Genomic DNA, 27,104 nt, shown 5'->3' on the forward strand with positions numbered 1-27,104 from the left:
TAGGTACCCTATGACATCAACAGATTATTTAGGAAGTGCAGAAATAAGACTATAAGCTTCTGGGAAGCAGAAACACAATGCCTGGTGCATAGCAGCAAATATACATTTATGGAAGGAAGGGAGGCAGGAACCAGTCACATGAGCCTCTTGTTCAGTCATGAAGATTAGCAGAATGTGGTCATGGTGAGTGGCTACAGGCCAGTGACTGTGGGAGATTAGGGAACTTTGAGGCAAATAAAGGCTGGGTAGCAAAGTGAAAGGCTGGAGGGGGTTTCTGGCTGTCTGCGCTTGCTCAGTGCTAGCTAAGATGCCAGGCGTGTGTGGGCTCAGTTGCTGTCTCTCAACAACTTTAGGTCCCATCGGGCTGCGGTTCCACCTCAGCTATTATAAAGCTTCTTTCCTGTCTTACCATAAAATCTACCCAAGTGCCATATTCTAGTCAGCCTGCTTCACTGCCAAGCTCCATGTTTAAGTCACCTTCTCTGAATCTCTCAGCATGCAGATAGAATAGTATCCTACTTCGCTGGAGACTCAACTATCAAGAAAAGGAAAGTGACCCTGCTCCCCAGTAAACAACACAACCACTGGTATCCTGGACTGCCTGCATGCCTGGAGCTGTTCTTATCCAGTCTTTTTGTCATTAACAAAGATGGGCTTTCACTCAGCATCCTCCACCCCACACCCAAACCGCTACAAGGCTTGTTTGCTCTACCTCCTGAACACAACCTAAATTCACTCATTTCTTTCCATGGATACCATTCTAGTTCAAATTACTATATCTTCACCTTGCTAGTGCTTTCACTCCCACCTTCCGTAATCTAGTCCCCATACAACAACCTTACTAGATTATGAAAGAAATGTCTTCCTTTTGCTTAAAATTCTCCCACAGCTTCCCATTGGTCTTAGAATAAAACTGGCTTATAAAAGGTTGTGTTATCTTGCTCCTGCCTACCTTTCCTCCCCCACTGAGTATCATTCTCTTCTTCACTCACTATAATCCCATCACATGGGGTGAGGTGTGGTGGCTCATGCCTGTAATCCCAGTGCTTTGGAAGGCTGAGGCTGGTGCATCACTTGAGGTCGGGAGACCAGCCTGGCCAACCTGGCAAAACCTCATCTCTACTAAAAACACAAAAATTAGCCCGGCATGGTGGTGGGCACCTATAGTCCCAGCTACTCAGGAGGCTGAGGCAGGAGAATCGCTTGAACCTGGGAGGTGGAGTTTGCAGTGAGTGGAGATGATGTCACTGCACTCCAGCCTGGGCGACAGAGCAAAACTCTGTCTCAAAAAAAAAAAAAAAAAATCCCATCACTTGGGACTCAAACAGTCCAAGCTCATTTGTACTTTAGAGCCTCTGCACTTGCTCTTCCCCTCTTCGTAGGCCATCTAAGTCCATGCATCTGCCCCTAGTCTCTATGTGGCTGGTTCTTCCTTGTCCTTGGATGTCACCTCTGCAGTGAGGCCTTCCTAAGTAACCTATCATCTCCAATTTCTTCTTTAACGTCACCTTGTGATATTGTCCTCACAGTACACATCACCATCTGAAATAACAGTGCCTTTGATTGTTGACTTCCATTTCTCTCCTCCAGATTATAATTTCCACATGGTGAGGCACCCCTTCTGCCGTGTTTTGCCCTATTCCCGGAGCCTAGGACACAGCCTTTATGGAGTGTAGCCTGATAATGTAGTTACTGAATGAAACAAATCTTCCTGGCACACGTTCTTCACCCCTGAAAACAACATGGATGATGAGTGCAGACTGCAAAACAGCTCACTGGCAATTGCTCTCAATTCACTCAAACCCTGCGAAGACTGATGCCTTGTCATGAAGACATAAGGTAATGTGATTCACTTTTGAGCATCAGTTACTAAGAGGACATCAGAGTGGTTGAGCACTCTTTGATACTATAGGAGTGTCCTCAACTTGCCTATGTCCACAGCAGTGTGAGTCAACCAGAGATAATGGGTGGGAAAGAGTTTGTTTCTCTCAATTCCTATCAAGAATCTAAATGGGAGGGAAAAGAACCAATTTCTATTTTTGTTTAATAGTTTTAGAAAGTACATACATGCTACTGCAGTCAAAATTGTGCTCTGGGTTTTCTTCTGAGGGTTAATTTGGATAAAAACTATTATTCAGGGATGGTTCAAGTTTGAATAAATCAATTCAGTTCATCCAGTTTTCACTTCATGGCCCAAATCCTTTCAAGTCCTTGACCCCCATGCTCTGTCGTTTCTCTCTGGAATTTCTACTTGTCTTCTCCTACTCAAATAGTTACAACGGGTTAGGTGCAGGTGCACTCAAGCTCATTACAGGTTCATTGAAAAGCTTGTCAGGAATCTCAGTGCTTTCTATTATAATACTCAGAGTTGAGTTTTCTGCAATGTGAACTTTTAAACTGTAGAAAGCACGTTGTCCTTTTGATGCCAATAAAATTGTGCCTTTGGAGAAAACCTAATTTACATCCCCTACACACACACTATATAGCTTGTGTTGTTGCCTTGAGTAAGAATGGACACGGCTATTTTATTAAGAGTTCATTGAGTATGTATTCTCACATGATAACATGGGAAAGCTCATGGCACACTTTAAAGGCAATACAAACGTAAGCTCTTTTCAAAAATTGATGAAGAGCATAAAATATATATTTAATGACTTGATCAGATACTTCAAAACTAATTACTGAGTTTATTATCTAGAAAAATCTCTTCTTGGATTAAATTTGGAGCTATACATTTATTGGATCTATTTAAGTAGAATCAAAAGAAAGAAAAAATAACGTATAGAAATTAAACAGCCCCACCAATATTTAGGTATTCAGTAGTATGGAAATAAAGAATGAAAGCCAAGATTCCTATAACAAAAAAGTTATCTTTTCCACCTCTAATCAAATAGCTTGGGTGTTTATTAGGTGCCCATCAAAGATAAATATTTCAGCAATGGAGCCTATTAATGTGACACATCACTGTGTTTAAGATGCTTAAAGTCTTACAATTCAATTAATCCTCAGAAATCCAGAGAAATAACTGGCTACTACTAGCAATCAGTTTATAAATACAATATCAAGTGTTTTTTAAACAGGAAGTATTTTAAAGAGAAAATAGGGCAGGTGCGGTGGCTCACTCCTGTAATCCCAGTACTTTGGGAGGCTGAGGCAGGCAGATCACCTGAGGTCAGGAGTTCAAGACCAGCCTGGCCAACACAGTGAAACCCCGTCTCCACTAAAAATACAAAAATTAGCTGGGCATGGTGGCACGTGCCTGTAATCCCAACTACTCAGGAGGCTGAGGCAGGAGAGTCACTTGAACCCGGGAGGCAGAGTTTGCAGTGAGCCGAGATCCTGCCACCGCACTCCCACCTGGGCAAAAGAGTGAGACTCTGTCTCAAAAAAAAAAAAAGAAAAAAGAGAGAAAATAATAAACAGCAATAAAATGGCTAAATTATGGCCTACTTTATAATAAATAAGTAGTTAGCATGCTTCCCCACCACCATCTTACCCAACAATATAGCCTAACCGACATATCAGAGTTTTGATATTTCCTTAAATAAGAGAAAAAACATATAATTCACATTTGTAGTTTCAAAACTATTTTGACTGGACTCTGGGGACAACATAGTTCAGTCAAATAAAAGTGAGCTCCCCGCCCACAGTTAGAGGCACCATCAGAACAGGGAGCTTCCACTGAATGCTTTTTAAAGTCTCTCATTTAGAAAATGAAACCAACATAACTTAAAAATACAGTTTAGTGACAGTGGGAAGGTTAAATACGTTCAAAAAAAGCCATTCACTATCAAAAGAATTTGTCCCTTTAAATTGTGAAAACCCTTACATTCTTCTCCAAGATACTCAAGTACACCCCTAATGAACTCAACTCGTGTCCCCCTAGAAATCTTAGCATAATAATGGCATACAATATGGTGCTTATTAGCACTGTCCCAACAGTAACATGATATTTTACTAGGTATTCTTAAGTCTGATATTAGGATTAAGATGGAGAGTGCTTAGACTATTTGAAAATTACTTAATGGTTCTAAGATTTTTTTTCTCTAATGTGTCAATATTAAATAATGTTAGTGAGTTTTTGTCTGAGCTTTTGCACTCAAGTATGGGTATCTGACCATCTATATTGATCTAAGTGTTATAACTAAGTCTATAAATGGTAGACTATCGTCTCAAACTAGGATGTTTTGTCCTACGGTAGGCAAATTAAATATACCTTAATTGAACACACAAGAACATGAGTCAGTTTTCTAATGTGAGTTTATAATGCCACCTATCCAAGAAAATTGTGCATGCACATATGTACACACGTGTGTACTTATATATGTAGCAGTTGGCATACCTCTACATATATCACGTCCCAATAACAGATTTAAAGGTAACACGCATTCCAAAACCATATTAATAATGTTATCGTAATGCTTTCCTAAAACACTGTACAAACTTTCTAGGTAATTGATTTAACCAAGGATGCTTATTTTATTAGCCAGTTTTACCTCCTGTGTTCAGTCTGGTGGATTTTGGCTCTTTCTTGCTCTTGCTGCTGCCGTTTCAGTTCCAGTAATTCACTCTAGGAACAATAAAAGTTTTAAAATATGGTTTTCAATTAACACAGTTGTACAGAAGATACCCAAATCAATTACATATTTAAACCTCAACTGGTACAATATTTCATTTTTGAAACTTTTACTTAAGTACTATTTGGATGTGAAATTATTTTCTTATATACGTAGGTAGCAAATAACTGTGGCTTAGTCAAACAGAATAGCTCTGTGAGTGTAAAATTGCTAGATTAAAAGCCAGTGTGCATGGTCAAGATACTAGATCAATAGGTACAACACAAACAGAAAAAAATACAATGTAAGTCAAACTCATCTATGTCTTACAGAGAACAACAAATCAAATTAGTTCCTTCAGGAATATCACACAATACTATTTCTTGGTATTTCTCTAGCATTTCTTTCCTGATAAATTCAGAGCAACTTACAAATAAATATTGGACTCAATCTTATAGTGTAATTCTGTTAATAAAACATTCTCCATCCTGGAGAGTAAGCACTCACCTATTATTGATTAGTTACTTCTAATACCAGCAGAACTTTGAGATCTCTGGAGGAGATACTTTGCTTCATATAAATCACATTATTATAACTAAATCTTTAGCTTCCAACAGTCTGCTTATCTTCTTGGAAGAGGCAACTTAACTTCCAGACCTAGTTACTATGTTTACAGTATTATACCGAAGAACCAATCCCAGGATTTCTCTAATTTCCAACTGTCTACCCTAAGGCAGAATAAATTTTAATCCCATTTCAAAGACAAAAAAAATGCAAAGAGAAGAAAATTATTAGGCCCAAGTCATATACCAGTGCCTGAGTCAGAGAGATTTTCTGGTAGAGAAAATACTGTCACGTCTTAACACATACCAATAAAAGGTTGCTATTGTTGTTTTAACCCCAAACTTCCTTGATGAAAAGTATACAAAAAAACTCAAAGTTCAGGCTGACATTTTATTAACTTTGTTCAAAGACCCTCTAATATTCCACAGTCCCCCAAAATAAAAAGACTTATTTCTTATACTGTGATATTCCAAATACATTGCTCATCAATCCCTAAAGCACATTACTTAACCCTAATTCCTATATAACACTAATAAGGGGAAATCATTGAATAATATTTGAGTTTTTGAAATCAATGAATAATATTTGTCCACTCAATAAGCATTTGTTATACACCTTGCTGCCAAGCTTTATGCTCAAGTCTCACTCTTGCACAATAGGATCATTTTTTAGTCTACCAAATATTAGTACTCTTTATTAGTACTACCAAGTATACCAATGTGAAAGAAGCTCCTGTCCTCTCCCTCGTCTCCACAATCATTTTCAATTCCTGCATGTGGTTTCATAAGTAATTATCTTCTTCTTAATAGTATGCATGTTTATTCATTTCTTAATTTTTTTTTATTATTATACTTTAAGTTTTAGGGTACATGTGCACAATGTGCAGGTTAGTTACATATGTATACATGTGCCATGCTGGTGCGCTGCACCCACTAACTCGTCATCTAGCATTAGGTATATCTCCCAATGCTATCCCTCCCCCCTTCCCCCCACCCCACAACAGTCCCCAGAGTGTGATGTTCCCCTTCCTGTGTCCATGTGTTCTCATTGTTCAATTCCCACCTATGAGTGAGAATATGCGGTGTTTGGTTTTTTGTTCTTGCGATAGTTTACTGAGAATGATGATTTCCAATTTCATCCATGTCCCTACAAAGGACATGAACTCATTTCTTAATTTTTAAAAAACTGTATTATCTTTTGACTACCTACAATGGAAAAAAGATTGATGTCTCTATTACTACCTTCACCCCAATCCCAACTTCCTCTCATAGTACAGCCCCATCGTCATTCTCTTACAACTTTTTTTTTTTTAACATTCAATGTGGTAGGAGAGGGATCTAGAAATCCTGTAGCTCCTCATTCAAGTTTCTAATTCATCCTCCTGTTTTCAACTCTAGGCTTCAAAGGTACCAGGTGCCTCTGATTCCTCAACTTAACCAACTTCTCTGTCTTACTGCTTCTTTCAGATGAGTACTGGCTTTCCCTGCTCCACTAAATCAGTTACCACTGACCATCTAGTTCCAGATTTAAAATTTTGGCTTATATCTTTGCTGCAGTCTACTAGTCTGTTCTTTTGCTCTTGTTGGCTTATGGCTTTTTAAAAAAATTCCTGTATTTTTAGTGGTATATGGGGAGAGAGTGATAAAACATAAGCAAATGAAATGCTTTTGATATGCAATGTTTAACCAGAAAACCTTAATATTTTCAAATACAAGTTTTACCAGAATTGTATTATTTGATCCTAACAACAATTGCAAAGGTAGGCAGGCAAACAAAGTATTATGTGATAAATGAATGAGCAATATCATCCTCACCTTACAGATAAGGAAATGGGATCAGAGACACAGTTTTAGTAACTTGTCAAGAGCTAAATAGCTTATTAGTAGCAAAATAAAGACCAGGGCTTACATTTTCTCGTATCTAATAATCTTCTGCAGGATGCATTCAAAATAAATGGTTGGAATTAAGGATATCCTCACGGTGGCTCATCATAAAGTATACACAGTCATGTCCAGAACTACAGGACCCATTCACATTCAAAAGTTTTAGCAGAATATATATAACCTAAGCACAAATCTAAATCCTTCTTGCCAAAGGATGCTGATTATTTTCACTTTCATTAATCCTATTTCTCCAAGGAGCAACTTCTGGTATCTGGCCCATTGTGAGTTTAATACAATGCATTCTGAACAAACTAACTCTCATTAGTTCTGGAGTATGACACAAAGACAAAAAAAGTATAAAATACATACATATATATATATGCATACTATGACATGTTACTTTAAAATTTTTAAGATAATTTTTTCAGACTTGGCAAAATGATCATGCAACTTGTCTGAGAAAAAAAATACAATCACAGCCATACAAAAATACTGGAAAAGAAAACAAAAAATGAGAAAGAACCAGCTTCATCAAACATTGAAAGATATCATATGAGAACACATGGATGGGGACAACACACACTGGGGCCTGTTGGAGTGGAGGATGCAGGGGGAGGGAGAGCTAATGGATGCTGGGCTTATTACCTAGGTACTGGGTTGATCTGTGCAGCAAACCACCATGGCACATGTTTACCTATGTAACAAACCTGCACATCCTGTACATGAATCCCTGAGCTTAAAAGTTGAAGAAAATAAAACTATAGTAATTAAAACAATTTGAGTCTAGGAAGAGACATGATACATATGGAAATGTAGTTTACCATAAGGTTGTGCTAAACCAATGCAGGTGACAGAGTTTCATGAATGATGATGGACTAGCCGACTACTGTAAGAAAGATCAAAACTAGACCCTTAATTTCGATTAAATAAATTTTATAGAAGTCTAAGATTTGAGCCTAGAAGATGGGAATAGAAGTTTTCAAAGGTGGCACAGGTGAATTTATTTATAAACTTGGAGTGAGGAAGTTCCAGAAGTTAGAAAAAGAAAAAGATTAATAAATTTAGCTGCATGAAAATTCAAACTTTTCATTTGGAAAAAATACCATAAAATTAAAAAATTAACTGTTAATGAATGTTTAGGATATGCATAGGCTAATTCAATTTTCATTTATTCATTCATTAAATATCTGAGTGTCTATTATGAGCCAGGCTTGCATCTACATGATAGGCTATAGTAGTGAACAAGATAGATGAGATCTTTGCTCCTTTAGAGTTTATATTCTAGAGAAAGGAAACCCATAAACAAGTGAGAAAAATATCCAACAATAATCCCAGGCAGAGGATTAAAACACACTGATGTGAGATTCAGTGGTTCAGTGACTATTTTAGGCTGAGACTCAGGAAATGTCCCAGAAAGTGGGTAAGGACTTCACATAAACCAATAAGGAAAAAACAACCAAAAAGAAAAAGGGCCAAGGGATAGGAACAGGCAGTTCACAGATAAACTACAGGTTGCCTGTCAGTTCAAAATGGTCATTATCTTCACTCAAAATCAAAGAAATATTAAAACGATGAGATAAAGTGTTTCTATTGTATTGACGAAAATCAGAAAAGTTTGACAGAAAACACTCTGGTATAGCATCTAAATTAGTGAAACCTAATTTAGTTTTTGGAAGTCAATTTAGCAATAAGCATCAAAACGTAAGACGTATACATCTCTTGCAGAAGTGTTCAAAGATGTATGTATATGAATATTCACAGTTATATTATTGAAACTGTAAAAGTTCAGGGAAACATGTTAATGCCCACCAACAAAACACTTGTACCATAAGTGAGACCATCAGCGCAATGGAATACAATGGAACAGTTACAAAGACTAAGATGGATGTTTTGTAAGGTAGAGCAGGGGCCTATGGAGAGATCTCTAAGATACATTAAGTGATAAAAGATAGGTTCAGAGCCGTTTTCTTAGGACGCTTCTATATAAATAGAAAATATATACATACATTCATTTTGACTTTTATATGCTGATGTGTATCCAAAACATTTAATGAAAAACTACACAAGAAAATGTTAACTGTAATTAACACTGGGTAGCGGCGCTTGAAGTGTGAATGGGCAAGAAAAGGATGCTTTACTATCTTACATAGTTTTTGTTTTTTAACTTCTGAACCATGTGTATATATTATTTCCTCATACCATCAGTAGGAATTTATTATCAGTGTGAGAGGCCATTTCTGTTTTCTTATGCTTTCCTTTATTTAAAAATCCCAATAAATATGTAATTTTTAACACAGAGAGATATAAAAGAGCGAAACACCACACATGAAGCTAAGAACTGTTAGGGAGGAAGAAAAGACGGGAAGAGAGCAACATACATCATCCTATTACGGAGGCAAGGAAAGGGGAGAAGAGATAAAGACCAGGAGGGAAACGCGGACGGGAGCTGATGAGGCATCACCATGCAAGAACATTGCTCCAGATGGCCGAAGGGAAGGTGCTGGCATCGCTGCACTCAGGATTATTATCCTATAACTAGCAAAGCATATTTACTAAGGAGAGGCTGGTTTTTCTTCCGTACTAAGAAGGATAATTTCAGCTAATTAATTTGTTCTGCTGAACTGACAGCCACCGAGGATGTGTCTGCATGCCTTATAAGCATATTCTTGGTTCATTTACTGAGATCCCACAGAGAAGTTCAATATCTAGAGTTAAGCAAATAAAAAATAAGTTGTTCTTGTTTCAAGGACCAAGCTCGGGACATGAAAAGCATCAAAGTGCTCTAAGCAGGAGGACAATGACATGCAACATCTGAGGCATTGTTAAGGCCTGGCCTACTCAATGCATATTGTCACACGCCAACCATTTTCCAGATACCTAGGTTCATGCTAAAGGTACAGATATCAGCACAGCTCCACCCTGAAATAAATCACAGTATAATGAGGCAGACACACCCAGAAACAACTCTGACACAGGGCAAAAAGAAATGAGTTGCTAAACACAAAATTAAGCTACATGACATGGGAATACAAGGAAGGAATGCAAACAGGAGAAGGGTGTTCAACACTTTGTGTTTGTGCACATCTTATCACTGTGCTATGCAAATCTCTACATTCATACAGAGCTGCATACAAACGAGGGTAGGTTGGTGATATGATAAACAAAATACCATCCTAGAGATTGAAAGTATGGAACTTCCTACAAACATTGGCCAAGTGGTATGTGGTAAATGAGGACAACACTGCAAATAGCGCCACTGCCTGTGGCCACCCGATGCAGTGCTCACCCAGGAGGGCTGCTCTGCTGGGGAGCTGCAGGATGGCACCAATAGCTCTGCTTCGAGCCCAGGTCAATAATAAGAAGAGGGGTTGCCATTTCCAGCAAGAGGTTGCAAACATCATTTCTCTGGGCTCCAATTGTCTGATGGTGCCCTGTTCTACAGAAGGGTCAACTATACAACAGACAGGTGTGTGTAAAGCTGGATGCTTAAGAAATGTGACAAGGTTAGAGGGAAAACATGCTCCAAAGCAAAGTTTCAGTGTGGTAATTGAAGATGAACATGGGGTCATTTTAAAACCATGTCTGAATCCCAACAGAGCATGTTCCGACATGGTTCAGCTTGACTGCTTTATGTAAACATGAAAATGCCATCGCCTGGCAAAACAAACTTCTCCCAGGAGAGCCTGTTCTCTCAACACAACAAGAGGAAAGGGATAGTGGAAGCAGGAGAGTTGAGACCATGAAGTCATGAAGTTCAAGAATGCCTTCCTTTGAAGGTTTAATACAGAAAAGCTTTCGGGGGAAGGAGGAGAGTTTAAAGAAGTCCTGGTTCTCCGGCATCCACAGTAATACCTTTGCCTTGAAGGAGAAAGATGGCCTTGGCTATCAAGAATGGGGAGAAAAGGCAGAAGCTACCACCCAAAATTTTCAGAGCACCAACCAAATCAAAGGAAATAAATACTAATGGGTGAAGTAGAGTTTAAAAATAACACAAGTAATGTACACTCTCCCCTTACTATTGTTTTTAATTTTTAATTTTTTAATTGACAGTTTGTACATATTTATAGGATACAATTTGATATTTTGATACATATGTATGTTGTAAAATGATCAAATCAGGGCACTTAGTGTGTCCATGATCTCATGCATTTATCATTTATTTGTAGTGAGAATATTCCAAAGCCTCTTATCTAGCTATTTTGTAAGGTACACTATCATCTTACTGTCAACCACAGTCACTCCACTGTATAACAGAACATCAAAACATATTCCTCTTATCTAATTGTAACTTTGTATTTGCTGTTGCTAGTTCTATCATTTTAACAGAGAGAGAAATAAACTTCCAGCTACAACAATCATGGAATCACAGCTCTATGTCTCCCACCTAAAAATATTTCCTACACAAAATGCAAGGTAGACGTAGGTTTCAAAACTTATCTGCACTCTATTTTATGATCTTTGTTTTCATTTTCATATATGTGAGCATATTTCTATTATGTTATTAAAATGTGGTAGTAATTGCTGCATGGTATTTATTCCAAACTCCAAAACCTTCAAATCCTGTATCACTGAACAAACTGTTTCAAATTTCCCATTAATCTTATGTTAAAAATAAACAACCTTGTACAAATATCTTGTCTGTATCTCTCATTATTTCCTCAGAATAAATGTATACCTTTAGATCTAATATTTTTACTTTTAGGAAACTCTTCAGAATTTGATGTTGCCAAAGTGCCTCTCAGTTTATCCTCTCACCAGTAATAGTACTTCAGTGTTTGTGGTATATATTGACGTCTACTAGTGGAAGTTCTCCTTACCCCAACAAATACACAAATTATTATTCATATTTTTCTAAAGTTTAAATTTCATTATTTTTCTCTCAGTTGAAATTTAGAAACAGTATTTTCAAATTACCTCAAATTCCATTGAAATTTATTACTAGAATTTCATTAAACTTACAAGTAAACTTGGATAGAACTATAGTTACTGAAATATTGAGTTTTAGCATTCGGGAACATTAGCCATCTCTGCTTTATTCGAATTGACTTTTATGTATAATAACCAAAACAGCGTGGTACTGGCATACAAACCAATGGAACAGAATAGAGAGTCCAAAAATACATCCACACATGCAGAGCCAACTGATTTTTGGCAAAAGGGCCAAGAACATAGGGGAAAGGACAGTCTCCTCAATAAACAGTAGTGGGAAAACTGAATATCCACATGCAGAAGGATGAAATTAAACCCTTTTCTCTCATCACATACAAAAAACAACTCAATTTGACAGTTTTCACAAAAGGCGTTAAAAAATAATCAACTCAAAATGGATTAAAGACTTTAAATGTAAAACCTGAAACTAGGAAAGTACTAGAAGAGAATATGGGGGAAGCTGGGCACAGTGGTTCATGCCTGTAATCCCCACCCTTTGGGAGGCCGAGGCAGGCAGATCACTGCAGGCTAGGAGTTTGAGACCAGCCTGGCCAATATGGCAAAGCCCCGTCTCTACTGAAAATACAAAAATTAGCCAGGCACGGTGGCACACACCTGTAATCCCAGATACTTGGGAGGCTGAGTCATGAGAATTGTTTGAATCCCAAAGGCAGAGGCCGCAGTGAGCCGAGATGGTGCCACTGCACTCCAGCCTGGGTGACAGAGAGACTCTGTTATGAAAAAAAAAAAAAAAAAAAGGAAAAGAAAATGTAGTGGAAAAGCTCCATGACATTGGTCTGGGCAAGGATTTTTTGGATAAGACTTTAAAAGGACAAGCAACAAAAGCAAAAACAGACAAATGAGATTACATCAAACTAAAAAGCTTCTCCACATCAAAGGAAACAATCAGCAGACTAAAGAGACAATCTACAGAATGGGAGAAAATATCTGTAAACTATACATCTAATAGGGGGTCAGTATCCAAAACACATAAGGTACTCAAACAACTCAATAGCAAGAGAACAAATAACCTAATTTTTAAAATTAGCAAAAAGGGCCAGGCGCAGTGGCTCATGCCTATAATCCCAGCACTTTGGGAGGCCTAGGCAGGTGGATCACCTGAGGTCAGGAGTTCAAGATCAGCCTGATCAACATGGTGAAACCCTGTCTCGACTAAAAATACAAAAAAAAAAAAAAAATAGCTGGGTGTGGTGGTGGGCGCCTGTAATCCCAGCTACTCAGGAGGCTGAGGCAGGAGAATCTCTTGAAAACAAGAGGCAGAGTTTGCAGTGTGCCAAGATCATGCCATTGCACTCCAGCCTGGGCAACAAGAGCGAAACTCCATCTCAAAAATAATAACAATTTAAAAAATAGGCAAAAGGCCTGTGTAGCTATTTCTTGAAAGAAAACATGCAAATGGCCAACAGGTATATGAAAAAATGCTCAACATGACTAACCATCAGGAAAATGCAAACTAAAACCACGATGAGCTATTATCTCACCCCCATTACAAGGCTATCATCAAAAAGGACAAAAGATAACAAGCGATGGCAAGAATATGGAGAAAAGGGAACCCTTACACGCTGCTTGTGGGGGGTGTAAATTAGTACAGCCATTATGAAAAGAGGTGTAAGTTCTCTCAAAAAATTAAAAATAGAAGTACCATATGATCCAGCAATCCCACTACTGGGTGTCTATCCAAAGGAAATAAAACAAGTATGTCAAAGAGATATCTGCACCCCCATGTTTATTGCAGTACTGTTCACAATAGCCAAGATATGGAATCAACCTAAGTGTCCATCAATGGATAAAGAAAATGTGGGATATACACACAATGGAATATTATTCCACCATAAAAAGAAGGAAATCTTGTCATTTGCAACAACATGGATGAACCCAGAGGACATTATGTTAAATGAAATAAGCCAGGCACAGAAAGACAAATACCACATGATATCATTTATATATGGACTTTAAAAAGCTGATCTCATAGAAATAGAGTAGAATCATGGTTACCAGAGGCTGGGGGGGTTAGGAGGAAATGGTGAAGTACAGGGAGATATTGGTCAAAGGATATGTAATTACAGTTAGATATAGGGAATAAATTCAAGAGATCTATTGTACAGCAAGGTTAATGACAGTTGTAATTAATGACAATAAATAATGATCATTTATTATATTCTTGAAAATGCAAAGAATGTTAAGTGCTCTCACCACAAAAATAGTAACTGTGAGGTAATGCATTTGTTAATTAGCTAGACTTAGCCATTTCACAATGTTTATATACTTCAAAATATCATATTGAACATTATAAACACAAATAATGTTTTCTGTCAATTAAAATTGGATTTTGTGGATTCCAGGAAAGTTTTTAATTTTTTTTAGTTGTTGAACAATTATTTATATAGCTGCTTTTTGATTAGATCTTTTTGTCCCATAACGTATTTTCTAATTAAGTTTTGCTTGTATTTGAGAAAGTTGTTGATTCTTGTATATATTTTTTAACCAAATCTTTTTTTTTTTTTTTTTTTTTGGAACAGAGTTTCGCTCTTGTTGCCCAGGGTAGGGTGCAATGGTGCAGTCTTGGCTTACTGCAACCTCCGGCTCCTGGGTTCAAGTGATTTGCATGCCTCAGCCTCCCGAGTAACTAGAATTACAGGCACCTGCCACCACACCTGGCTAAGTTTTAGTAGAGATGGGGTTTCACCATGTTGGCCAGGCTGGTCTCGAACTCCTGACCTCAGGTGATCCTCCTGCCTCGGCCTCCCAAAGTTCTGGGATTACAGAAGTGAGCCACCGCGCCTGGTCCAACTCTCTTATTAAACTCCATTTGTTCTCATTATTTTTCAGTTGATTCTCTTAGTTTGCACAGGCAAATTGCTCCCATGCATAAATAACAACCTACTTCCAATAATTAGAAAAGCTCTTTTATTTTTAGTTTTATCAAGTTGGTTAAAAAATATCCAAACCTTGTTCCATTCAGTAAAAACAGGGAATTTTTTTTTAGTTAAAAAAATAAGTTTTCTATCAAATAACTTTGAGTAGCATGAGGTTGGAATTCCCAGAATAATACTGGGTAACAACCAAGTTTGGTAGGGGTTGCAAACATCCTTATGTTGTTCATAGTTTTAGTATTTCACCACTGAATATAATGTTGGTTATTGGTTTAGAAGACTACAAGTATGTTAAGAAAATATTATTTTTAGTTCACTGAAGTGTTTTTTAATTGATAGTAAAGATTAAAATTTATCAATGTCTTTTTGTGTAACTAAAGAGCCAAATATTCTTGTCACATGACCTATCCTATTGCAGTGATAAGATATAAAAAGTTTTAATATATAGCTACTTATCTTTGCATTCCTGGAATAAACTCTACTTTCCTTTGGTAAATTGCTATTAAGAGAAAAATTTCATCAGCTAGAATTTTCCTTCAGATGTTAATCTCTGTCTTTATAAGATTGGTCTATCTGTGAGAGAGAGAGGGAGGGAGAGAGAGAGAGTGTGTGTGTGTGTGTGTGTGCGCGCGCACGCGCGCACACGTGTGTGAGTGTGCACATGCTTCCTTTATCAGATTGTGACATCATGGGGATAGTGAAATAAACTTCTAAAATGTTTCATCTTTTTTCTTACTCTGAAATAATTTGTAAAGCATAGGGAAAAAAAATCTGTTCCTTGAAAATTTGAAGGAACTTGCTTCTAAAATTATCCAAGTTCAGCCTCCTGGGGGAAGTAATTCTCAGAAAACTTCAGAAATCACTTGCATTTTCATTGGTCTTTATGAGTTTTAATTATGTGAGTCATTAGAGTTATATATTTTCCTAGAAAATCATTCACTTAATCCAAATTTTTAATTCATTAGCATAGCATTGTTTATAGTAACATAATTTTAAACTTTTCCAAATCTATGGTTCTAGTCCCTCATTTCTAATGCCGTGTATTTGCATTTTTACTAATCTCTTCTTGATTAGACTTACCAAAGATGTGTGCATTTGTTGACCTTATCAAAGAACAAGCTGTTAGATTTTTATAACAGCTGTTTCTTAGAGTTTTATTATTAATTTCTGTTCTTATCTTAATTACTTTCTTCAGGATCATTTATTGTTTTTGTTCTAAATTCGTAGATCAGATGCTTAATTCATTTCTTTTTTTAGTATTGAATGGATTAAAATGTTGTAATTTTGAGTACAGCTTTACATGACTTCCCTATAAAAGTCTCTCACTATAATTTTGTATGTGTTCTATAATAATAATTTTCTCTGTCACCCAATAGTTTATTTTCTGACTTTCAGTATTTTACTGATTCTTGTATATATTTTGACTGTAAAATCAATGACTTTCTAAATGACTATAAAACCAATAACCATGCACAATCAATAAATGCAATCAGCTTATCACATATTTTAAGAAGTTTCTGAAAGAGAGAAAGGAGACAGGTTACATTACCAGGGAAAACCAATGTGCAGGATAAATTGGAGCTAAGTCCACCTGCTTCTGAAGGAGCTCCAGGAGGGAATACTGGGACAGTCATTTAGATGATCAGTTAGAAAACTGCACTAAGAGCAGCTTGGTGGTGGGTTCTTTTCCCTCCCACACTTGCACTACATAGTAGGCAGCACTATCATGGCCCATAAGGTAAGAAGTGAATGAGAGAGGCATGGCTGGGCTCAGGGAAACAGGGCAACGTCCCAAGTACCTACTGACTATAAGAGAACACGAGTCTACTCCACACAGAAGACAAGCTCCTACATACCTCATTCAGCAGCATATCCAAATACATATAAGAATAATCAAACATTTGAGAAAGAATTCCATGGGAGATAAAGATTAAAATGGAAAGAAAAAAACAGTTAATATGGTAAATAGAAAACTTATGTTTGTATAGTTACAAATATACAAACATTAAATAAGATGAGATGAGAAAGAATATTGCACTTACAAAGCAGAACACTGCTACTTACCAAATCAGCAATCTTGGTAAATAAACATATTCAATATGTGCCAAATAAGCAGAATGAAAAGTCAAGAAAAAATTTAGTGAGCAGGATGATCTAGCTAAAGCTTTCATCCAGAATCCAATTAAAAAAAAAAGGCCAAAGGGATAAGAAGTACAAGAAAACAATGAAGTTATATACAGAACAGATCTGAAATGTCCAAAGTCCATTTGATAGATGTCCCAGAAATGGAGAGCAAAGACAATAAGGGTAAAGAGACATAAAAGAAAATTAGGAAGAAAAAAGGAAAAGTGAAGAGAGACATGTATTTTCAGATTAAAAGAGACAACCAAAGGCTATGCAAGATTAGAAACAAAAATAGAAACACTGTGAAATTTCTTATAGTACAGGAAGGGGGAGTGGAGAGAAGAAAAAAAACAGTAAATAAATAAAACAGAGAATTCAGTGTCAGTAAAAAAAAAGAAAACTAATAAAAAGTAAATCATGCAGTAAGAATACAAATACATGCAAATATGCTACTAATCATAATAAATGAGAACACATCAAATCTACCCATTAAGAGATTCTGAAACTAGGTAAAAGGAAAACCAGACATTTCTTTCCACTCAAAATCTACTTTAAACAATGACACAGAGATGTTAAAATTAAATGATTAAAGAAATGTCATGTAAATACTAACCAAAAAAAACTGGTAGAGGAATTACTAGAATCAGACAAGATAGTCAAAAAAGAAATCAAGCTAAAAAATCATTAAATACAAAAAGTAGTATACTTCATATTGATAAAATCTATCCTAAAATGTAGGCTTCCCTTAGTCTCATTGGTCAAAACTGTATCACATGTCCACAGAGAAACCAATCACAGTCAAGGAGAATGGAATTCTCATGAAGAGTTAGACCACTTTGGGAATAAATCCCTGGAGCTGGGGTAGCACCTGCCTTTTCTGAAACACAGTTCATGCAAAGTAGGATGGATACTTGAAGAAAAATCAGAGCTGTAGAGAAGCAGGCAATCAAAAATATTTGACACATCACTCTGAAATTATCACAACGCCTAATTTATTTCCTTGCAGCATTAGTATTATGGTTTGGCTCTGTGTCCCCAGCCAAACCTCATGTTGAATTGTAATCCCCAATCTTGGGGAAGGGACATGATGCAAGGTGATTAGATTGTGGAGGCGGATTGCCTCCCTGCTGTTCTCATGACAGTGAGTTCTCAGGAAATATGGTTGTTTAAAAGTATATAGCACATCCCCCTTTGCTCTCTCTCCTGTTGGCCATGTGAAGATGTGCTTGCTTCCCCTTTGGCTTCTACCACGATTCTAAGTTTCCTGAGGCCTCCCCAGCCATGTTTTCTGTATAGCCTGTAGAACTGTGAGCCAATTAAACCTCTTTTCTTTATAAATTACCCAGTCTCAGATAGTTATTTATAGTAATGAGATAACTGACTAATACAATTAGTTACTACAGATTACTACAAGGTGATGAATCACTATAAAATTTAAAAGTATAATGTTGTATTTCTAAGTCTCCTTTTAATTGTTTACTCCTCCCTTAAAATGTAAACTTCTGGAGAGCTGGAACCTTGTCTATCCTGATCTTAATTATAGCTTCATCAACTTGCACAAGGCTCAGTATATAATAGGAACTCAATACATGTTTGCCAATAGAATGAATGAATGAGTGCTGGGAGAGATTACTCTGAGACAGATCAACCAGAATAATACAGTTAAAAAAAAAAATAAAAGCCAGAGAAGGAAAGCTTTAAAGTGGTGTTAGTGTTACAGAGTTCAGGGAGAAGATAGGAATTACAAAAAGACCACCAAACTGTATGTTCAGAAGGGATTTTACATTTAGGAAGCAATTTCAGTGACAGCATTTGTGAATATAAACCAGATCATAAGGAATTAAGGATGAGGTGGGTAATAAAGAAGTGGTTACAGTAAAATTACCTTTGTCTTTTTTTAAATTTGCTAGAAGCAGAAAAGGTAATATCTCTGAGGATAGCAAAATCAAGGAAGGGGTTAGCTGGTTTATTTTAGAATGGTAAGATGAGATGAGAAGTTCACGTGTGCTCTATCATCTTCTTCATGACCTACTGTCACCAACTGTGGCATATTTCTGACAAAAAAAGGAAGCATCCAATGGAGAAGAATGTATTGAAGATATAGAAAAAAGAGGAATTACAAATAAGTTTCTAGAAGAAGGAAGTGAATCACAGGTAAAATATTTAGAGTTTAAACTTGAGGAGGCTCCTTTTGTCCCCAGAGCCAAGAGTAATTAAAAATGTGAAAGTCAGAGAGACACATAGAACAAAACTTATGTGCTGTCACCTAAACTTAACCTAGATTATTTACCTAAGAATTATTCCATAGTAGGTATCCAATAAATATTTGCGGAATGAATGGAATAAACAAACACATAAATGGATGCAATGATTAAAATGTGTTGTGTTTTGTATCTTTTTACAGTAAACATGATCCTCCTGTTTTCTTAAGGTAAATCATTCAAGTGATAAGGAATGAAAGGTTCTACAAATAAAGAAATGCCTTTGGCCAGGTGCGGTGGCTCATGCCTGTAATCCCAGCACTTTGGGAGGCCAAGGCAGGTGGATCATTTGAGGTCAGGAGTTCGAGACCAGCCTGGCCAACATGGTGAAACCCCATCTCTACTAAAAATACAAAAATTAGCTGGGTGATAGTGGCATGCACCTGTAATCCCAGCTACTTGGGGGCTGAGGCAGGAGAATCACTTGAGCCTGGGAGGCGGAGGTTGCAGTGAGCCAAGATCATGCCACTGCACTCCAATATGGGTGACAGAGTGAGACCTGGTCTCAAAAAAAGAGAAATGCCTTCAATGAACGTTTCCCAACAACAACACGTCAGGCAAAAAAAGAGAGAAGCAAAAGTAAGGTAGAATAGATGGATAAGTATCCTTGTGTAGTCTACTGTTACTGAAATCCCTAAGGATGGAATTATTTGTATATTAAAGCTATTAATTTTACTGAAAGCTACAGTAAGTTAAACGAAATAATTTATGTAAAAGGATATATAATAAAAATATGTTCAATCAGTAACCAGAAAATATGTGTATATCAATATTTATCTAAGTCTAGAATAAAAACAAGATTAAGAAATAAAAAGTTTAATTTTCACTGTTTAAAATAACTGCTCAACCTGAAAATTAAATCCCAGATCTAGTATCCTAATTTGTTAAGCATTCTGTTTGTCAAATGTTCTACTTTTAACAGTTTTTATGTTCCAAATATATATGTCAAACTTTTAAAAACACTATTTAAAATCCACTAGAAGTTATTTAAAAATAAATCATATCTACAACTGACTTTGCAACATTCACCTTAGTATGCTAAGTACCTCACAATTTTATGTTAAGTTAAAAGCTCATAGAAGCAAATGAACACTTTTACGTCATTTAGCAGACATCATTAAAAGTACAACATGACTATGTACCAGATTTAGCTTCTACTTGTTAACTACTAGAATCTTACCATAACATTGCCTATTTGATTGTAGATTTCAAGATTAGGATCTTGCCAAGACAAAAAGATATTTATTTAAAAAAAAAAAAAACACTAAGGGATAAAAATGTTTCATGATTCGTCTTTCTTACACAGGAGCTAAATAAGTAAATTTACAACTCGCATGATTTCTTTCAATGATTTAATGACAACCTATGGTGCCCAAAACAGCCTAGGGACACATTTATACCATATGCTGGGCGAAACTATGAATGAGAAAGGGGTTCCACACTGTTGGGAAGAAGATAGCACTCAAAAGGGTCAAATTATAGCAACACTAATGAATACAAATAGTTCATTTTTCAATGGAATTTTTACACACAATTGTTGTAATAAATTACCTTGTTGGGGAAAGACAAAGAAAACATAAATTAAACCAAATCAAGGAAATCAAAATGGGAGTTAGAATTCTAGTTAATTATAGAACTGAATATACAGATTTGAGAAATGTTCTATAAGAAATAGTGACAGGATTTGTCAACCACTAGTATGACAAGAGGAAAAGTTGGAAAATAATAATGATGGGAAAGATAAATCATTTAGTTAGCTGGAGCCCCACCCCACTCCCTTTTCTTCTCGTTTAAAGGATCTGAAATAAAGTGGCACTTTGGAGCTAACCATGGGTCTTTCTCATCATTCTCATTTCATGCTGAGCAGCTTCTGGCCTATTAAAAGCAGGTATGAACATCAAGTATGCCACTGACTATTTTCAGTTACCATACCAGAAATTTCACATTGTAATGAAGATTATTCTTTAAGCACTTTTCTTAGAAGGCTCTGCATTCACTTCACTGATTTCCATTGCTCAAAACATATGGAATGCCTCACATATTTTTATACCCATGTAGTGTAACTTGGTTTTACTGTATGTGTATAACTATTTTTAGTGAACATTTATGCCAGTTTCATAACTTTGCATGCCTACTTTCTTATGCATTATCACATTCTCTGGATACCATCTCTAATTTCATATATCTTCGGTTTAAAAATAGCAGTGATGGTGGTGGTGTTTTGTTTTGCAGATGAGAAGTTCACCAGTGCTCTATCATCTTCTTGGTGACCTACTGGCACCAACTACAGCAGATCCACTGTGCATCCATGAGGCTAGGTACCATGAAAGTTTTGACCAGAAGGAGCCACCACCATACTCTTAAAACACATCCAGAAACTCACCTTTTATTTTCAATGCTTGTATTCTTGTTTTCAGGATTTTCATGTGTCTAAATATTTCTGTTCAGAAATTCTTCAAAATTATCTAGTACCTCAAATAAACAGTTAGCAATAACTAGTAGGGGCTTGTAAGTACCTTTTGATGTTGTTCATCCTTCATCTTTTGCAATTTTCTGTTTTCTTCTGCCTTTAGAGAATCTCTGTAAGCCCAGCTTCTGGCCTGTAAAGGTACAAAGAGAAAAAAAAAAAAAAAAACAACTTGATAGGATAAAGGGTTGTCACAGTACACCAAGCTGCCTACTATAGGCCCGGTGCTAATAACTCAACCTCCGTACTGAGCATATAGTAAGCTCTCCATACACACTTGGTTATTAAGTGATTTATGCATATGTCTGAAAACGTCCCTTGGAACATATAAAAAGAAAACTAGTGTAAGCACAATCATCCTGCACATTTGAAAGGATGATCTAAATGTTTAATTAAGCTTTAAAAATATCCCCTCAGAGATAATCAACATAGTTTATTCCTTCTAGTGGAAAGTTTAGGACATTTTCAAGAATATTCCGACTAGCTGATCAGTCAATATTAAAGACAAGCAATAGTGGCACTGTCTTTAGAAGAACGGGCATGTCTACTGCTCATTAATGATATCTGATTAAGCAGCTTGTCAACTAGTGGTTGATACCATATAATTTCAAGGATGCATATTTTCTAAGCACTTGCATCCCTAATCTGGATGAAGTTTTATTTCTACCTCTGAAAAGGAAAACAAAGCCTATTCAGGAACACATGACAACAAAGCCTTTGGCAAGCCAGCACATGAGGGAGAATGCCCTTCGGTGTCTCTGACCCACCACACCAGAGTTCCACACCCTGGCATAGTGACCATGTGTTCTGACATTTATGGCATTTCAAGTGTTCTGTTTATTTGTCATATGCTTTCTCTCCTTCACATTGATTTGCAGCCCCAGCTTCTGTAAGGCAAAGAGCTAATGCTTAGGAAATTACATGGATCTCATAAAAAACTATCAGCAGCTTCATGGCAGCAGGTTACATATTTCAGACCTAGTTCTCAGGACTAATAATCCATAAAGTTCAGGTAGGCTGGTTCCCCCTTTTTCCAGCCTACGTGAACTTTTATGTAACTTTTCTCAAGCACTTCTTAGTTCATTCTGGCATTTCTGTCACTATAAAAACCCATATCCCATCAAATAATAAGAACCACTTCCCAGAAAAAGAGAGAAGCTTTCAAAATGGTATCATCTATGGCAGTGCCAGTTAGAAAACTGGAGCTTCCTGTGTTCAGAAATCCCTGGTTTATCCAAACCCTGCTGCATTGGGCAGGTAAACATACATCATATGACTTTCTCTTATTTGCATCCTAAACTCAAGGGGACTGTGCTAAGACATAGAAGGGGAAAAGTGATTCTCTGACAAGCCTTTCTTTTTATCTCTGACAACCCCTTCTTTTTATATTAGAGAAGGCTAGCCTTTATCACAAATATTCCATATAAGACCTAGTGAGGAAGGGAAGAAGGGAGGGAGGGAAGGAGGGTGAGAAGAGAGGACAGGAAGGAAGGAAAGGAGAGAAGAAGAAAGGAAAGAAGACAGCTTCTACTCAAGATATTAAAAGGTAGAATAAAATATTTAGTTAAAGCAAAATTACAACTTGAATGAGAGTATCTAAATTCTATTTGAATAGCCTCCCTTTAAACTTGTCATTTTGTTGTTCTTTTATTAGAATACATGTCTTAGTTTTTGACTCAGAAAAAAGTGGTTATTAAATACCTTATTATTAAATAAGGTGCCTTATAAAGGTCCACAGAAACTGGGAAGTCACATGGCATCCAAACTTATGAAAAGTTCAGTTACTTGCAATCCTAATGTTTGCTTACCCAGCTGTGATCCCTAGGCAGGATAGGAAGTTTCTGTTCAAAAATAATAGAAGGGAATAAATTGATCACTATTTTTCTTAGCTCTAAACACCAGAAATTTCTAAGTCACTGTATTCACATAATTTGTCTAACATTGAAATATTCATTTAATACAATACCAATGCTATATTTTATCATTCAACCAAAATACACCTTTATTTATCCTCCCCAAAAGCTATGCTTATAATGTACTCATTCTATTAACAGTGTTTAAGGCTCCTCTGTGCAAGCACTGTGTCAGGACACGATCCCAGGCCTCAAGCATTTACAGCTTAGTGTGAAAGTCAAACGAGAAGACTAATGGTTACAGTACAGCATGATAGGTGATATGATAGAGGAAGCCAAAAAGAAGGATATTTAATTAAACTAGATTGAGGAGACTTTCCAAATCAAGTAAGGCTAAGTTATATTTCAAAGAGTGAGTAGGAATCAGACTATACCGGGAGAAGAGCATCACATGAGCAAATGGAAAATAGCAGTGCATGAGTTTGCTAGGGCTTCCATAACAAAGTATTGTGATACTGGTGGCTTAAAGAACAGAAATTTACTATCTTATAGTTCTGGAGGCTAGAAGTCCAAAATCAAGGTGTCTTCAGGGTTGGTTCCTTCTGAGGGCTATGTGAGAAATATCTTTTCCAGGCTTCTCTTTTTGGCCTGCAGACTCCATCTTCATCATGCATCTCTTCACATCATCTCCCTTGTATGCATGCTTCTGTGTCCCGATTTCCCCTTTTTATAAAGACACTTTTCATAATGAATTTGAACCCACTCTAGGAGCCTCATTTTAACTTATTTCCTCTGTAAAGATGCTATCTCTGAATAAGGTCACATTCTGAGGTGCTAGGGGTCAGGGCTTCCACATAAATTTTGAGAAGTGTGGGTCTCAACCCATGACAAGCATTAAGTTCTCCTTTCAAGATGGTGGAGTAAAGATGTTCCTGTTCCATTCTCCCCAAAATTACCCTAAACAAAGCAGAAAATGAAATACACACAAGCTCTATCTTCCAAAACCAAGAGATCCATATTCACAGAGGGAAATCTATGAAGACCAAGTAGATAAAGAAACAGTAAGTGACTTACAGAGGAAAAGAGCAAACCTGAAGACTTGCTGGAAGGGGCTAGAGGACACCTATGGGGAGCCAGTTCTCTCCACAGAGCAACATGAGGGCCCAAGAAATGGATGCACCAGCTATTGAGGAAGACAGATGGATAATAGGCAGGTAAAAAGGAAGGAATTACTAGATAGTCTCAGTAGAAGCCCTTCACCCCCATATACCTGCTCCTGCTTTGAAAATGCAGGTGCTAATTCACCAAACACCAACAGGAAATGAAAAGTGTATTTTCTGGATAAACTAAACCAGGCATATGTGTAAAGACAGCAGCAGTGGACAAATGCCAGGCTGAGAATGAAATGACTCTATAAAGTCCTGCATACTGACCAGTGAGCCTCTGAGTCCCTCTCTTTGAAGTTTTTTTCTGCTTCCTGTACTGTTTCTTCTGAGAAGTAAGAAGTGATATATATATTTTTAAAGTAACAAAGAAAAAAGGAGGAGTTTGGAGACATTTTTTTAAATCTCCCCTTCTTCCCCCCAAAAAAACCAAATCAGTAAAATATTTAGAAGATAAAGTCAAGAAAATATGCCAAAATATAGAAAAAAGGTAGTCACAGATAACTTACAGGAGAAAATCTCTAAAGTTAGAAGATAAATCCGGGAGGTCTACAATTTGAATAATAGAAATTCCATAAAGAGAAAATGAAAGGATATAAGTCAGAGATAACACAAGAAAATCATCTAGAACTAGAGATGAATTTCCAGACCGAAAATGAATTAAAAAAAGACTTTCACACTAAATCACATCATTACAGAATGCCAGAAAAAGAAAAGATGATATTAAAATATTTTCAGGGGAAACAGAGAAAATCCTTCATATAAAGCCTGAAATTCAAATGGCCTTGGATTTCTCAGGAACCAGTATTCAAAGTTAGAAGAGCAATGCCTCAAAATTCTGGAGGAAAATTATTTCCAGTTTGGAATAGTCATCAATAAAAATGCAAGCAAAGTATGAGAGCTGAATAAAGATAGTTTCAGACATGGAAGGACCTGAACATGTTTACCTTCCATGTGTCTTCTCTTGGGAAGCCACTAAGTAATATGCTCCACCAAAACAAAGAAATAAAGCAAGAAAATAGAAGAAATGAGGCCCAGAAATCAGAGAACCCAACATGGGAAGGCAATAAAAGCAATTCCCAAGATGACTTTAAAACAGGGATTCTCAACCTTGGCTGCACATTAGAATGGCCCGGGGAGCTTTTTTAAACCCTGAAGCCCAGGTCACAATACAGCAGGCTCTCTGGAGGTGCAACCCAGGTATCTGTGATTTTTAAAGCTCCCTAGGTGAATCCAGTGTGCAGAGGAGGCTGAGAACTACTGTGTTAAAGGAAAGTCCCAGAACAACAGCTGTGCGCCAGGCTTACAAACACCCAGGACAGGTTAAAGCAGGAGGAAAGAGGGATCCAGGAGGGAGAGAAAAAAAAAAATCCACAAGTTATCTGACAGGCATAAGTTGGAAAATTGTTTAGAAATTTGCGTCAAGAGGCATTTTGTAGAACAGTCACAAAAGCTGTCAGAAGACAGTCAAATGTTCAAAGGAAACTAAGAAAACGCTAAAATAAAATGTTTAAAGAGTTGTACAGAAGATATAACCAGAGTATACCGACTGGCTTGGCAGTGAGAAAACGTGTATATAGTCATAATAGGGAAAGCTCAAATTACTGAATAATTATAAGAATGAGAGGAAGAAATGAGTTAATAAGGTCTAAAATTGATTAGTCAAGAGATACCAACACATATTAACAGATATTCGGAGCTAACTAAGAAAAGAAACAGGTGGTGGGTTGCATAATGGCCCCCCAAAGACGTCCCAATCCCTGGAATCTGTGAATGTTTCTTTATGTGACAAAAGGGACTTTGCAGAAATTAAGGATCTGGAAGTGGAGAGATTAGCCTGGATAGTCCAGGTGGGCCCATTGTAATCAAAAGGGTCATTATAAGAGGAAGGCAGAAAGGTCAGGGAGGGTGCAGAAGGTTGGGTGAGATGGAAGCTAAACTGGAGCCATGCAGCCGTGTGCCAAGGGTTTGCGGGGACAGGGGACAGATGCCCCCCGGAAGCTTCAAAAGGAACCATTCCTGTTGATACCCTCATTTTAGCATTTTAAAACCCATTTTTATTGCTGACCTCCAGAAGTGTTAAGAGAATAAATTTTTGTTCTATTAGGTCACTACATTCGTGGTAATTTGTTACAGCAGCAAAGGGAAGTGTTCAAATGTTGCGGTGGAAGTGGGATTCAAGCGGCGCAAAGGGACACATGTTAAGTACTTTATTTGACTTCTTAATGAATGAGCATGTGACACGTAGATAAAAATTACAATAATCAACCTGCACTGAGTGCTCACAGTAGTGTGAGAGAGGAGAGCTGGAGAGGCATGAGCTATAGAGCTTGGCCCCTCAGACATTAACGTGCACACACATCTTCCATGGACTGTATTAAATACAAGCTCTGATTCAGGAGGTCTGCAG

At 37.0% G+C, this 27,104-nt stretch overlaps 1 protein-coding gene and 1 long non-coding RNA gene across 16 annotated transcripts in view; one reads left to right on the forward strand and one right to left on the reverse strand.

Moving 5' to 3' along the window:
* EPSTI1 (epithelial stromal interaction 1) overlaps positions 1–27,104 on the reverse strand; it is a 105,854-nt gene that overhangs the window by 9,426 nt on the left and 69,324 nt on the right. For 10 of the 15 annotated variants that reach the window (XM_011535313.2, NM_001330543.2, NM_001002264.4 and 7 more), the window contains 3 exons: positions 23,487–23,519; positions 21,728–21,811; positions 4,497–4,570 (listed from right to left, as the gene is read on the reverse strand). In XM_011535313.2, coding sequence (XP_011533615.1) covers positions 4,497–4,570; positions 21,728–21,811; positions 23,487–23,519 — 191 coding nt within the window. Of the gene's footprint in view, positions 1–1,649; positions 1,732–4,496; positions 4,571–21,727; positions 21,812–23,486; positions 23,520–27,104 lie in introns of those variants that run through there. The other 5 variants (NM_001331228.2, NM_033255.5, XM_005266596.2 and 2 more) reach the window with 2 other exon arrangements.
* LOC124903165 (uncharacterized) lies at positions 1,724–21,517 on the forward strand. Its single transcript, XR_007063772.1, has 3 exons — positions 1,724–1,839; positions 21,008–21,099; positions 21,444–21,517. It is a non-coding gene; the product is annotated as an uncharacterized LOC124903165 (long non-coding RNA).

This window comes from Homo sapiens, chromosome 13 (assembly GCF_000001405.40).
Source record: "Homo sapiens chromosome 13, GRCh38.p14 Primary Assembly".
NCBI classification, from domain to species: domain Eukaryota; kingdom Metazoa; phylum Chordata; class Mammalia; order Primates; family Hominidae; genus Homo; species Homo sapiens.